Consider the following 16317-nt stretch of genomic DNA (forward strand, 5'->3'; position numbering starts at 1 on the left):
ACTCCTAAAGCACACACGAAAGCAGTGCTTCCTTTACTGGGCCAGATTCTCCCCGGGGGAGCAGACAGAAGCCCTCTAACCTGAGCAGTATGTGCTCATGCCAGTGTGCATTTTCCTGTCTCCCCTGGGGAAGGTTTAAATCCTTTATTTATTAAGAATTTAATTTCTTTATTTATTGGTTTAAATTCTTTATTTATTAAGCCTGCACAATGTGATAGAACACTATAGCAGACAGTCCTCGATGTTTAATTCTTAAGAAAATAGGAAACTATGTATACATTTCCCTCCATTTAAATTCTATTCACTTCTCTCTTTGTGTTAGGGGAGGTACTGAGGAACGCTGTTTTCATTTGCTTTTACTTTTAATATGGTGTTACTCAGAACCAGTAGGGTATATCTATTAATATATCTGTATCTATATCTATATCACCTATATCTCTATCTATCTATCTATCTATCTATCTATCTATCTATCTATCTATCTATCCATCTATCTACCTACCTATTATCTACCCATCTATATTATCTATCTGTCTGTCTGTCTGTCTGTCTATCTATCTATCTATCTATCTATCTATCTATCTATCTATCTATCTATATCTGTCTATAGATAGATACATGAGAGGGGATTTTTTTAAGGTTTTAATTTTGATACAGGATCTCCCTCTGTCACCCAGGCTGGAGTACAGTGGCACAATCATAGCTCACTGCAAGCCTCAAACTCCTGGGCTCAAACGATCCTCCAGCCTCAGCCTCCTGAGTAGTTGGAACTATAGATACACACCACTGTGACTGGCTAATTTGTTTAATTTTTATTTTGTAGAGATGGGTGGAGTCTTGCTATACCTCCCAGGCTGATATCAAACTGCTGGCCTCAAGCGATCTTTCTGCATCAGCCTCTCAAAGTGTTGGGATTACAGGCGTGAGCCACCGCAACCAGCTGGAAGCTGGATTTTTAATGTTTCAAAGTAGAGCAAGTGGGGTCGCCCATTAGGGAACACATCCCAACACCTTTTCTCCTCTGGGTGGCTCCCATGTTCATATCTCACAAGGTGCTCTGTGCTTCAGGATGTCTCTGCAGTTGCTCTTCAGCCTCCTCTCACTACACGGGCCAAGGGCACTGTTTGATGTTTGCAGCGTGTCCTCTTGCCTCCCTTCAACCCTTCAACTTATCTCTTTCCATTTGCATTATCCCTGGCCAGATATATGCTGGGGGTCACTCATACGGACTCACAAAGGCCAATGTTAAAGTTTCAGGAATGTTGTGAACCACTTATTAAATACAGCCATTATAAAAGTGAAATGGCCTAAACTTACATTTAAATATATTTCATTAAAAACAAAGGTAGTAATAATAATAATAAAAATTCATTACTTACAAATTATTTTACTATATGTTACTATTATCTATGCTGTTGGGGTTATTTCAGTCTATTTTAACTGCAGGGTGGAAATATTGTATAACAGTGTGCTCTGCTATGCCCTTTTCCCAACTGTGTGTTTCAAAATGATGTCTCGTTGGAGCTTGAAATCAGCCATGGTTGTAGTATTTATTTCATGTAAATTGGTAAACATTATGAATCAGGAGTCCCTCCCTTATCCAGAGAGCCTGTTGTTAACATTTACCAGCACACCATGATCTGTAGCTCTCAAATCCTTAGATCAGAGTTTCTCAGTTCTAGCACTATTGACATTTTAGGCCAAATAATTCTTTGTTTTTTTGGGGGTGTCACTTGCATTGTAGAATGTTGAGCAGCATTTCTGGATGCCAGTAGCTTCCCCTCCCCAGTTGTGACAACCAAAAATGTCTCCAGATGTTGCCGAATGTTTTCTGGGGGATAAAGTTATCTCCACTTAAGAACCACTGGCCTAGACAACATTATCCTTTAATGTAAGTGACTTGCTATTCTTCCCTTTTAAACTTTAACATGCATCTGACAAATATTCAGTGCCCATTATGCATGTAAATACAATGATGAACAAGATAAGCATTGTCCCTGTCTTCATAGAACTCCAGTCTAAAATCATGGACTAAGCTGGAAATATACTGAGTATCCACTAGGACTAGAACATGCTATCTGCATGCTAATGTGCTCAGTAGGTGATCTTGATCTTTATTAATTCCATTAACACTAATTGCAACATTGTATAATGTTTGCATTTCCCCTTCAGGTGACTGTTGTCTCTTGGGCACAGGTAGCTGCCAACAGGTGAGCCTCTCAGCGGATCCCTGATAGAGGTAGGATGGCAAATAGCTTCTTTAATATGACAGCCTCAGTGTAGTGGCTGGCAAGGAGCTGCGATTGGGAGGAACTGGAAGTGACACCCAAGCTCATTGAGCAAGCATGCTGTGAGTGCCATGAGTAAGTAGTCCCAGCTGATGAGCTTATCAGGGGGTTGCCAGCGGGGGTACTGCCCAGGGTGGAGATGGAATGGGAGACATAGCCATACCTCAGAAGGATATGCAGCTCCTACGAGGACCTAAGTGGAGCTGGGTCAGCATGGCCCCAGTAAGCACACAGCAGGCAGATCAGCCACAGACTTCAGCATCAAGGCCTTCCAGGGTGGGAACTAGATGAACTGGAGGACAGGCCAGGAACCTGCACATATGAATCATGTGGGCCAAGGACCTTCCTCCCCTTTCCTACCACCATGAAGCAGACCCTTCCCCCAGGAGTCATCTTGGAGAAAAATGGGAAAGTGGAGCAGTGGTAGGGGGCAGGGGGTGCTGCAATACCAAAATATCCAGAAGGCATTTAAAATTATTGGACTAGATGACATTTAATTCTCCTTCTTTACTCAGTAAAGTGAAGAGCTCAGGAGAAAGATTGGATCAATTATAGAAAATAATGAAGGTACATTTTCTTTGCATAACTAAATGTAGGGTAAGTACATTTTGAATTTGCTAAAATTGTCTTTGCTCTGCCTCTGCACACGTGTGCACACGTGCACACACACAAATGGCACTTCTGGGAGTTTTTCCTTGCTACCACCTCCTCTCAATAATCAATGCTCACGAAAGCATTTGTGAGAAATGTGGAGTTTACTGTGGAGATTCAAAGGGAAGATGATGGAGGTTTCACTGTAACCCCCACAACAGATTCATATTCCACTTTGATACTGTGTTCATCATTTCCAATATATACCTTTTTCCTAGTTGAGTATTTGAAATCTTGGAAACCAGACTCTGTCTTGCTGTGTTGGTGTGTCATAGTATAATTGGCAGCATGTTTCCTTTGGTAGCAATACATAAGACAATGGTGTGTCTTATGTTGATGTCTTCTTATATTTGATAAAATCTTTTAAGTCTACTGCTTTGCAGTCCTTCCTCAACTGCAAGCAGAGGCTTCCCCACTGAGGCCATTGAGTAAAGTGGTTCAAAGTACAGTCTGGAGTCAGACCATCACTTACTATCTCCACCATTCACAAGCCAGGTAACCTTGGGCAAGTTACTGAAGGGTTCAGGGGCTTTGTTTCCCTACCTGTGCAATGGGGATAATATTATTAACTACTTCATCGGATTGTAGTAAGAATTAAATGAGTTGATATATATAGAGAAATTGGAACAGTGTCAGGTGGTGGTGACTTCTAGAAAAGTAGTTGTTCTTATACGTATTACCTCTTTAGTCCCCTCCCACATAGGCCCTGCCTCCTGTTACCTATTGCTTTTTCTTTCCTCCCTTATTTTATAAATAATACTTCAGTGACCGCTGTTTGCTATTTGAACACAACCTTGAGATCTCTCCTCTCCTTCCCAAATGGCTTACCTAAGTATTTACTCCAAACAAATATGTTGTCTTTTAGAGATACTCTGATAAGTAAAGATTGCTGTATGTAGTAACATATTTTTATCATTATTTCTGATGCATCTATGGTAGATGCAAGAGATAGTAAGATATGAGCTTGACTGGAGCTGAGCTAGCTTGTTGGGGAGCATTAGGAAATAGGATGGAAAAAAGATAGGTTGGAGACAGATGGCACTTGAAGAATCTCCCCTTTGAAATCTTTGGTAAAGTCTACAATATGATACCTCTCCATACATCTCTAAGGAGGCTTTGTATTTTGATGACAGCCTTGAATGCTAGGGACACCCAGCCACACGGGCTAACTCATACAGGGCAGAGAGGACTTTCACCCTCTTTAATTCACCGTGTATGAGTGGCAATGTTTCTTCCCAAATATATGGCTGGCCCTAGGAGACAAGTCAGGGCATGTGAGCTGTGGATGTGAACTGAGAGAACAGTTGGGGCTTAGGTGAAAAGTGGAGATTCAGGAACTCTTCAGATATAGTGGCCTTAGGGAAAGATAGATGTATTAGGCCATTCTTACATTGCTATAAAGAAATACCTGAGACTGGGTAATTTATAAAGAAAAGAGGTTATATTGGCTCATAGTTCTGCAGGCTATACAGGAGGCATAGTGCTGGCATCTGCTCAGCTTCTGGTGAAACCTCAGGTAGCTTTTAATCGTGGCAGAACGGGAAGCGGGAACAGGCATGCCACAAGTTGAAAGCAGGAGCAAGCGAGAGAGATTGGGGATGGTGGTGGGGGGTGTTACAGACTTTTAAATGAGCAGGTCTCATAACAACTCACTCACTATTGTGAAGATGGCACCAAGCCATGAGGGATCTGCCCCCATGATCCAAACACCTCCCACCAGGCCCCTCCTCCAGCATTAGGGATTACGATTCAACATGAGATCTGGGTGGGGACAAATATCCAAACTATATTACTAGGCAGTAACAAAGAGACACCCGGCCCTTCTGGGTTCAAGGTGTGCCACAGGCCTGCATGTCCTCCTAAGCTTTTCTTAGGTGGTGCCAGAGTTTGAATGGCTGCAGTCCTGGCATATTCCTCAGTGAGGCTGGAAAAAATAATCCACTCCTGCAAATGGAAAATTTCTTCTGTGTAGGGTGAGCACTTCCAGCTCCAGAAATGAAACATGCTAAAGGCAGCGTGTGACTTGGCATGGGGTGACCAGTAACCCAACTGATCGGTCCTCTAACCTGTTAGTTCATTTTGCTGGTGATCTTGTCCATAAGGGCAAACAACTTTCTAGCTGGTCACCTTTGGAACAAAGTAAGAGTTTTTGAAAGAGGATTTAAAAAAATTCTTTTTTGGTTTGTTTTGGGTTTAATGAGTCAATGCTTTATTTTACTATGAGTGTTTATAACCAGACCTAAATGTATGTAGGATCTTGAACCTCCCCCACAACTATTTCCTATTTGTTCCCAGAAAAATTCCAATGCCAGATTTTGCCATAGCAACCAGAGGCAAATATCAAGACAGCAATAAAGAGCAAGCTGGAAAAGGGTTTCCCTACAATGTGGCTTGAGTTTCTGTAGGGCATTCCATCCTCCGTGTGGAGCTCTGGAAGGCAAGAGGGGGCCCTGCGGTTCCTCGTGGGGGGGTCTGGTAGAGTCCAGATTTGCCAGCATCCAGGACCCACTAGGAAATGTGTCTGTCAGGCAGCTGGGCTGGAGCGGAAGGATCAGCTTGCCTGCTCCTCGGGCTTGGCACCTGTTGTGTGTTGATCTTTATTTTTGTACGTCAATTTTTCAAAATTAAAGGTATTGAATTATTATTTTTCCATTATGCTTTTCCTCTGAGCAGTTTAGTAAACAAGCCTGTTCTGTATTTCCTAATTGTCCCCTCAAGTGCTCTTTGGAAGAAGGCAGTGCATATTTAAAAGTAAGCAAATGAAACCAAAGAACAGGAGATTCTTCCAATATCTGCCCACGATGTCCCTCATTCTGTGTCCTTCCTTTTTGTCATGGTTGTTAGGTAATGTTAGGAAGTCCCACTTCTTTCCCATAGGTAAAGTCATCTCACTACAGTATAGCCTTCTTGCTGAAAGAACTTTGGGCTTCCGAGTTACTTCAGGTGCTGGTTTGGATTAGCGGTGTGTTGATAAATGTTTAACAACTCGCTCGCAGACATAAAATTGCCTTGATTTGTAGAGCTGATTTGCTGATTTCTGTGGTGTAAATCCTCCCACCATGGCAGATTTCATCTTACCAGAGTGACCTCATGAACATGGAACTGGAAAGAGATGCACACATTTAACTCTCATGCACTGGTAAGAGCTGGCTGCCCCACACTGCTGGTTCTACCGATCTAGGCCTGGGTTTCTCAACCTCAGCACTATTGACATTTTGGGCAGAATGGCTGTTGGTTATTGGTGGCTGTCCTGTGCATTGTAGGATGTTTAGCAGCACCTGTGGTTTCTACTCACTAGATGCCAGGAGCAACCCTTCCCCACTAAGTTGCAACAACCAAAAATGTCTCCAGATTTTGCCAGATGTCTCCTGAGGGGCAAAATCTCCCTTAGTTCTGGGCTATTCTGCACTGATAGTGCTTAGAAGGTCCATTCAGCAGGCAGTAGGCCTGCACTGTTAGCTTTTCCATGAACCACTCTGAATATGCACCCAAAGAAGTTCTCTCTTGGCATTTTGGATGTGGTGCATTAGTCTGTTCTCATGCTGCTAATAAAGGCATACCCGAGACTGGGTAATTTATAAAGGAAAGAGGTTTAATGGACTCACAGTTCCAGATGGCTGGGGAGGTCTCATGATCATGGCAGAATATGAAGGAAGAGCAAAGAGATGTTTTACATGGCAGCAGGCAACAGAGCCTGTGCAGGAGAACTCCCCTTTATAAAATCATCAGATCTCATGAGACTTATTCACTATCATGAGAGCAACATGGGAAAGTCCTGCCCCCATGATTCAGTCACCTCCCACCGGGTCCCTCCCACGACATGTAGGAATTATGGGAGCTACAATTCAAGATGAGATTTGGGTGGGGATACAGCCAAACCATAACATGTGGTATTGCAAAACACTGAAAGTGTGCTTCCTTGGGTAGTCTTGAGAAGAGTCATGCTGTAAGGACTTAAGGCACCAAAAAATTAAGACACAGCAGGGCCAGTAGGAGAGCATCAGGGTAATTCCACTATAGGATATATCCTATATCCATTATAGGATAGTTTTGACAGACTGCAGAGGTCCCTTAGGCAAACCTTTCCTTTGTATGGGTGAGAAATTAGACTCAGGGACAAGGTGTGACTTGTCCAAGGGCAAGGTGTGGATGTGCTTGGACAGTCACAGGGGTGTTGTGGTGAATGCTGTGAGACGCCTGTGTGACATACTGGGAATTAGAACTGACTCCAACTTGTAGCTAAATGTGTTTTGCGGGCTTTTCAATGTTGGGTTTGGATGGATATATTCTGACATCTCCCTGTCCCCTACCTCTCTGTCCCTTTGGAAATATCTGCTTATGAAAACCATATTATAATGAGGGATTTCTGTTTCAGATAGAATTATTCCCTTCAGCTTCAGGAGTGAGTTGATTATTCACATGTTCTTTTTAGGGGGTTTAAGCTGCTAGTCCTTAAAGAATAGATGCTGAAGGTTGTCATTGATTCCTCTTTCCTTCCTCCCACGTCTGCTCTGGGCCTTCTCATTGATGTAGTATCTTAGGTTACTTCCAAAATAATTTGAGAAATGGATTTATAGAAGAAGCTAGCTTTCCAGTAGAAAAGTTTAGATGACAAGATTAATGTGATAAGAACTAAGAAAGCCCTTCCTAGTTTTCATTGAAAATGTGTTTTTAATGCCCAGAGGTGCCCAGTCAAAAAGGAAATATTACAGAAGGATTATTTTCATCAGCAGAGTTCTTGGGCATTGCAAGTTCCAGTGTAATTAGGGAAATCACATGCGAGTACATCAATACACTTCAGATGCCAATACATTGGGCTTAATGAGGACAACAAGCCTGCTTTTATTAGGGGATTGAATAAAAGTGAAAGGAGTTCTTGAAAAGAATTGGTAATTTTGGATGGGATAATTCATCACTTCACTCCAGATCAGTTTTTCACAGTAAGAAGTGCTGGCTCTTCAGAAAATTTGGCATAACCAAAGTTTATTGTCACTATCTCCTCCTTCTCACATTGTCCTTTGTCGCACCCCCAGCAGGTCCACAGTGATCCTGCGGGCCACCCCCATGGACCCTGCCCGTTTTCTTCCATCGGGGGCTATCTTACGTCAGTCTTTCAAGGTCTCCTCAGTAATGCAGGCCAGTTGGATTTTTGCTTTCTTTTCCCAGAGGACAATTCAGCCTCAGCGTCTTAGTCTAAAAGGATTCATGCAAGCGTGTCAGATGTTTTATTAGGCTAAGGGGGAGGTATTTTGGGTTGTGGGGAGCACTTACTGCAACCCTGTATGAAATTCCCTACTCAGTGATGTTCAGGCTGCACGGGCCAACATGGAAAGGGCTTAAGGGAGATGACAAAAACAAAATCTCTTCTTCCACAAAGATTTTCAGTTGATCAATTTTGTTACTTTTTTGTGATGAAACTATCTGCACTGCAGCTAATGATTTTTTTCTGAAGGTGGAAAAGGTAGGAGCAACAGCTTTCAGTTCTAAGGATACATTCTGTTGACCTTCATAAGCCCTAGGAACTAGAGGGGCAAGATTGAGGAGGAAATAGAGAAAATAATTTGCTCTATAGTATTTTCCCCCTGAGCTGCCATCTGGGGCTTTCAGAGCTTAGCACTGCACTCTTGCAATGTTGCACACACCACAGGAGCAATATCAAGAGATGTCAAACATGAGTGGTATTGGTCACTGGAAACAGCAGATTCCAAATAGCTGTCTCACCAGACTATTCTTTCAGAAGATTCATTTGTGCCAACTACTTCTTTGTCATGGATCCTTCCTGGTTCTGCAACACAGATGTGGAAAGTGAAGAGAACACGTCATGGAATTCCATTTCTAAGAGTGGAAAATATACAATTTACCATGGGATGTTTAAGATATTAATATATTGTTCACCATGTGTATCCAGAGCTTTAGTAGAAGTAGGTTAAAAGAGCCGTGCATGTATACACGGTGCTCCTCATTGTCAAACGCTGAAGCCTGTTACAGGCTGGGTTTGGGGGCTGGGGGTACTTACGGGACAAAGTCTGACTCTCGGTCTGTAGGCTGAGTGCCTTCTTAGTGTGTTGGGACTCAGCATGTATTCACCCCATCTGTACTCACAAGCCTAATTCATTAATCAGGATGACTTACTGGGCTGTGAGCCCTTTGAGGACAGGACCTTGTACCTTTATCTTGTGCCTCTCATGCCTAGCATAGCACCAGGCATGTAACACGTTCTTTTTAAAAAAGTGTTTTACAGCTTTATCAAGGCATACATGATGTCAGATCAACTGCATGTGTTTAAAGTTTTACACTTGATGAGTTTTGATATATGTCTATACCCGTGAAACCATCACTGCAATCAAGATAATAAACGCATTCATCCACCCTAAAGTTTCTCGTGTCCCTTTGCAAGCCACCCCCCTTCCTCCCATTGTTCCCAGACAACCACTATTCTGCTTTCTGTCACTGCAGATGAGTTTGTGTTTTCTGGAATTTTATATAAGTGGAATCATACAACATGTACTCTGTTTTTCTGGCTGTTTTCACTCAGCATAATTTTCTCAAGATTCATTGAAGTTTTATATATTAATAGTTTGCTACATTTCATTGCTGAATAGTATTCCATTGTATAAATCATAATAGGCACCTAACAAGTGTTTGTGGCTTTACACTGACTTGAAAATTAATTTTTAAGAATATAATTGGGCAAAAAGTGGACAATGGGATACCACTCTATTCTTGGTGAGTGGGTTCACTCAGGAAGTGGAAATAAGAATCAGGAGATAATTTGGCATGGTAGAGACTTTTGTTGTCATCCAATATCTATTTTTCCTTCTTTCTTAGTACTGGAATACCTGAGTTTTGGCTGGGCACAGAACTGTCTGGAATACAGACTGCAATTCCCAGCCTTCTGTGCAGTTCTGTGTGGCCATGTGACTAAGTTGTGGTCAATATGAGGTAAGCAGAAGGGGTCTGTGAAACTTCTTACAAGTCTCCTTGAAGGAAGAGGGATTTCCTCTTCTTCTTCCTGCTCTCTGTTGTCTGGAAGGTGGCTGTAATGTCTGGAGCTCTGGCAGCCATTTTGGACTAGAAGAGACCTTGAGAATGGCGGCCGCTCATGACAGAGCAATAAAGTAGAGCAGGCCTGGGCCCCTGATACCATAGAGTGCCATGGCCGACCTGGACTACCTCCTGCCAGGCTTCTCAACTGAGAAATATATAACTTTCGATCTTGGCCGGGAGTGGTGGCTCACGCCTGTAATCCCAGCACTTTGGGAGGTCGAGGCAGGTGGATCACTTAAGGTCAGGAGTTCAAGACCAGCCTGGCCAGTACGGTGAAACCCTGTCTTTACTAAAAATACAAAAATTAGCTGGGCGTGGTGGCACACGCCTCTAATCCCAGCTACTTGGGAGGCTGAAGTAGGAGAATTGCTTGAACCCGGGAGGCAGAGGTTGCAGTAAGCTGAGATCGTGCCACTGCACTCCAGCCTGGGATACAGAGCGAGACTCTGTCTCAAAAAACAAACAAACAAACAAACAAACAAACAAATAACTAACTAACTGAATAAATTTTGATCTTATTTAAACCACACTGTTTTTGTGGGGGTTTTTGTTTGTTTCTTGCAGACAAAACAATTCTAACTCATACAGTTAGTAAGATGGAGTTAGTTAGAACAAGAGGGAGCTTAATGTTGCTGGAAGATCGTTTCCATCATGCTAATATGTCCATCTCCAGTGTATGGATGTTTCTGACTAGAAACCTGTGTCAACTGTTAGAATCTCTTTTCATGAGTTCTGGAAAAACCCTGAAACTATTCTTAAAATTCCCCTTTTCCCAATCATGTAACTCAAGCCCTGTCTATTTGTAGCCATCATTAACATTTTAGACTTCTTAAAATTATACTTATTTTATATTTATTGACTTTTAACATGGTGGCTCTGTGGTGGGATGTGGGGTTAACCTAACATCATTACAAAATTTACAAATCATAGTTATGGTGGTTTATTTGGAAATGTTTTCTGTGGATGCCCTGTCTCATTTATTGTATATGAATTTTTGTTATGTTTAATCTCTAGGGTTGGTTTGGCTTGTGACTCTCATTTTTTATTTGAAATATTTCAAACATACATAAAAGAGTGTATGTCCAGATGTCATTTATCTAGCAAACACATGACTCTGTAGAACAGTAGTTGCCAACTTTATTTATTAATGTAGTAGCGGAACCCTTTTTGCAAATGGCATGCTATGCAGAAGCCCATTATATAAAACATCTCAGAGCTTCTCTGGTTGAAGCAAAATGGAGGGCTTGGAGCCTTCCTAGATTAAACCCCACCTTGGCCACCCCTTTCTACACCACGGTAGCCCCTTGAATCTGCTCACCCAGCCTGAAGGTCTTGTGAGCACATCTGAAAAGCACAGATTAAGAACCAGAAAGCAAGCTAAACACAGTGATCAGATTAGCCATAGCAGGTGATCCAGTGTCCAAACAGTAAAGCCCATCCGTTTTCTTCATAGAGGAGCCTCTGAGATTCTCATTCGGAACTCTGGGCTCTTATGTTAGCCACAATTCTAACAAGCTTTGCAATCTGGTTTCTCAGTCACGGAAGAATAGAAGAACAACTCAGAGGAGGAAGAAGTCAGACATAGCCAGACACGGCTGCTAGCAGTTCCACCAATGAAAGAGGAGACCAGGATGTTTAAAACAGGCAAACACAAGGTGCGAAAAACCAGAAGCGAAAACTTCTGAGGTCATTTAAGGTAAATGTAGTTCCCTAATATATTCCAGTGGGTTATGAGGGCATGATTTTATATATTTACGTCTAGAGAGAGAGTGTGTGTGTGTGTGTGTATATATATATATATATTTATATATGCATGTATAGATGCATACATATATATGTATGTGTATATATTTAGTGAGTGTGTGGTTGTATAAAGTATGTGTATACATAAATACATAAAATATTTGTATACTTATACATATATATTATATATGTAAACAATATGCATATATACACATGCAATATTTTGCTTAGTGGTTATAATGATGACTCTGAGAAGAAAAGCCTCCTGTTTTCTATTAGTCATTCTGTTTATAGTAATAACAATAATACTTACTGAAACAATTTTTATGTGCTAGGTACTGTTCTGTTTTGTATGGTTAATTTATTTACTCTTTCTACTTTCTGAAGCAAGGACTATCGTTATCCCCGGAAGCAGAGAGAAGTTCCCTTTGCCCAACATCACACTGCAAGCACGTGTTGGAGCTGAGATTCAAACCCAGGCATCCAGGGTCCAGGGCCCATGCTTTTAATATATTCCATATCTTAGGAGAATTTCCCCTATTTAAACAATAAAAGTGCAAAAATCTTGTGGCTAGCCAAAATTTTCAGTTGTTTGGAAAACTTATTTATCCAATAAGTGGAAAACTCACTTGTCCTCCAACAATTCTGGATAAATGAAAGAACGAATTGAACTGAGACTGGAATCCGGGTCTCCCAGTACTTTGTAGTTCCTATCCATATGGCTTGTCAGGAAGGCCACAGGGAGGTTAACTAACTCTGCGTAACCAGAAACAATCCCACATCAGACTGTTGGCAGTGGGAGTGGAACACTCAGAGCTGAACCGCATGCAAGATGGTTGCATTTTCATTTGCAATGTCGTCATCTTCCTCATGGCTAAAGAGGTATTTTGGAGTTGACATGAAGGCTACTGTAATTTTTAGAGGCATTTTCTTTCTGGCCTGTATTTACATATTGTGGTAGAAGAGTCAGAAGACTTCAAGCTTCAAAAGTGAATCTTGTTGCGAGTTACAAAAGCACCACCCGGTGGGGTGCAGCTCTCAGCATGTGTCACCACAGGCACTGTGATTTCCCTGTCTTCATCCAACTTTGGTTGCTGTTCTTCATGCTCAGGAATTCTGCAACTGCTGTAGCTTTTGCTGTTGTTATGTCTGTAGGTATGGACTCATTTCTACCATTCTGGAATGAAACATTATTTCAAGGGAAGCTTCTCATTGTAAAAGGTCCACACATTCAGAAGGAAACTGGGAGTACATTTTCTCATAGGCCTGGAGCATTAACTGACTATGCATCTTTCCCCTCAGTGTTGTCATCATGTTGTAAGGGGATGAGTCATGGACAACATTTTCACACACATACGTGAGGTCCATTGACCAGTCTTTAGGACAACTAGAAATCTTTTCTTTCTTTGTTTTAAAAAGGAAGACAAGTCAAGATACAGCAAATAAAAATGCTCAGCACATTTGCTGAAATCTTAGCAAAATCAAATTACTAGTAATTTGTTAATCACACTATACCTGTTTTGAGCCAATCCTACTTAACCCACCCTCCATCTTCCTCATGCTTGCCTCCCTGGTGAACTCCTATTTATGTTACAAAGCTCAGTGTTTATGTTACTACTTTTGTGCTATTTCTGAACGTTAAATGTACCTCTATTATAGAACATATCTCATGGAATAGTTATTATTGCATATCCACTGCCCTTGTTAGGCTGTGAGTGAGCTTTCTTTCTTTCTTTTTCTTTCCTTCCCTCCTTCCTTCCCTACTTCCTCCCTCCCTCCCTCTCTCCCTCCCTCCCTCTCTCCCTCCCTCCCTTCCTTCCTTTGCTCCTTCTCTCTTTCTCTCTTTTTCATTTCTTTTCTTTTTTTTTAAATTTGAGACAGGGTGTCACAAATATGAATGGGACCTGTGAATATGATGGCTGTCACTCTCTGATTAGATTACATTATATGGCTAAGGTGAAGGAATTCTGCAGATGTAATTAAGGTCCCAGATGAGTTGATATTGAGTTACTCACAAAGGAGATTATACTGGATGGCCCTACCTTAATCAGGGAAAAGCCCTTAAAAGAGGACTGGGCCTTTCCTGAAGGAGGACAGTCCACTGCTGGCTTTGAAGCAGTAAGCAGCTGTGTTTTAAGGGGGCCTATGGAGGGGCCCATGTGGCAAGGTCCTGAGGGTGGCCTCTAGGAGTTGGCAGCAGTTCCCAGCCACTGGCTAGCAAGAAAACAGGTGGTTCAGCCACATAGCCACAAGGAAATGAATTCTACCAACAATCCAAATGAGCTTGGAAGTGGATATTTTCCATGGTCAAGCCTCCAGACGAACACCTTAACTGTAACATATGAACAGCTGAGCAGAGGACCTGCTTCAGCCATGCCTGGACTCCTGACTTGTGGAAACTGAGATAACAAATGTATATTATTTTAAGCTGGTAAGGTTGTGGTAATTTGTTATGCAACAATGCCGAATACAGTAGGCATCTTAAATGTTTGTTGAACTTAATTTAATCAGGGAAATATAATATTTAAAAGGAATCTTTTCTAAAGTTTTAGCCAATTTAATGAATGTAGATATCTTAAAGAATTGCCATCTTCCTTTGGATCTTCTAGCCATGCAATCGACTTCACAAACTTCCAAGTTTTCATAAATACCAGCTTCTGATTGTCTGGAAACAGGAAGTGAGATTCTCTCCAGCCATCATTTGGCATTCTTGGGAGATAGAATGGATAAAAATTGATGTTGAAATGAGACCACCATCATTTTTCAGTCTGCTCACCACGTACAGAGCTCAGGATGATTAGAAAATGTAAAACACATGTGAGTGGCTCAAACCCCTTTAGTTAAATCACATTTACATAGATCAGTTTTCCCAAGGGATATAAGTTAGCTGAACTTAAGCAATTAAAAAAAATAAAACTAAACTAAAACCTTTTGCTAAAGCCAAAAAACATGGATGAGTTAAACTGTATCAGATGGAATGGTTTGTTTTGAAAAGTGTTTGGTTTGTTGTCTATATACGTGCGTGCTTTTTTAAAAGGCAGATAGAAAAGCAGAACTTACAAGACCTTTAGCTGCTGAGGTGGAAAGCCAGTATTACTTCTACCACAGCAGTTGATATCATCGGTCTCACCAGCAGGTCACGGATTTGTTGCTTGCTCCCTGTGACAATCTTGAACCATTGTAGGGACCTTGGCATATAGAGGGACGGTGAACAGGGCTGAAAACAAAATTGAACTCAATCTTGAGCTTGGTATTCCACCGAGAGCAGGTTTTCTGGGCTTTGAAATACCGCCTCAGAGAGACCTTCCTTGATATTCTGCCATGTTGAGAACAAGAACAAACTTTTTGGCCCTGGAACCTCTTCCCTCCCAGTGCCAACATGTTCAATTTCATTTGCCCTTGGCTAAATGTAGCTTCCTGTTTCTAAGAAAAGAAGCAGAAAGGGGCTTTTGAAGGCCTCACAGACAGTCTCAGAAGGCTTCATGGGCAGCAGACAACTCTTAGCAAACAACAATTTGATGAGTTAAGTGTAAACGGCTCAGAGACATATGGATTACATTTTTTGGGAAATACACATGGGCTTACAATGTAAAACTGGGTAGTGTGGGGTGGGGTGGAGAAGGGAATGCTTGGAAAAGTGTGGTTTGGGTCTTGCTAATTGCAAAATATTTGAAACAAATAATTTGAGATGTTTTGCTCAACGTACAGCGCGGTTGGATTTGCCCTTTCCATCTATTTACGTGTCATTTTCAGATTCGGCTCACATACCAATACTGGTTTGGGTCTTGAGTTGATTTTTAAAAATGCAGTTATTTTGAAAGGTCATGCCATGTGATTTCTGTGTAGCCTCTGAGCATAAAGGGTGGGGTGGTATAGGGGAAGAACTGGGCATTTAGAAACCTCTCTGCCTGTAGGTCAAACTGCTGCTCAGCTCTTCTGGTATATTCTACTTATGGAGGTTCCAAATCCAGGCTGTGTTAGTAAGATGCAGCAGCCTCAGTCTCCCCACCTGTAAAATGGGGACAGTAATACTTATCCCAGAACCCATGGCGATTGGGATGCTGTGTGGTGTGGAGTTAAAGTGTGGACCCTGGAGGCATATACCTGTGCATATCCCAGCTCTGCTGCTGATGTGAGCTTGGGCAAGTTCTTCAGCTTCCCTGGGCTTTTGTTTCTTCATCTGTGTAATGAGGAATATCTTAGCATCCACCACATAGGGTTACCTTGAGAATTAAAAGATTTAACCCAGTCCCCGGCACACAATAAGTGTTCAGCAAATGCTAACAGTGGCTCTTGTTGTTTATAATTTATCTTGTTCTATTAAGTATATGAATACAGTAGATAATAAGGCAAATTCACCTCCAGGCTGGGGAGAGGAATAGCCCCTTACCAAACAGTGAGGGTCTCCTTCAGCTTACCTTCTTTTTCTTATTGTTTCAACCTATGGATTAATTACCTAGTTTTGTGACCCCAAAATAAAAGGGTAGATTCCTTGATCTAAAATTAGACTCATCTTTTCCCTATCCTAGGAAGGATCCGTTTCTCTCTTCTATTTTACCACTGTCTAGCACCTGGAGACACTTGGTTT

At 41.7% G+C, this 16317-nt stretch overlaps 1 long non-coding RNA gene across 2 annotated transcripts in view; it reads left to right on the forward strand.

Annotated features, from left to right (window-relative positions):
* The window catches only part of GDNF-AS1 (GDNF antisense RNA 1), a 35916-nt gene extending 22701 nt beyond the window's left edge, over positions 1–13215 (forward strand). For both annotated transcript variants that reach the window (NR_145476.1, NR_103441.2), the window contains exons 2-4: positions 9768–9881; positions 11523–11682; positions 12117–13215. This is a non-coding gene — a long non-coding RNA (GDNF antisense RNA 1). The remainder of the gene's footprint in view (positions 1–9767; positions 9882–11522; positions 11683–12116) is intronic.
* Positions 13216–16317: the final 3102 nt, after the last annotated feature.

Source organism: Homo sapiens, chromosome 5 (assembly GCF_000001405.40).
Source record: "Homo sapiens chromosome 5, GRCh38.p14 Primary Assembly".
In the NCBI taxonomy this organism is placed as follows: domain Eukaryota; kingdom Metazoa; phylum Chordata; class Mammalia; order Primates; family Hominidae; genus Homo; species Homo sapiens.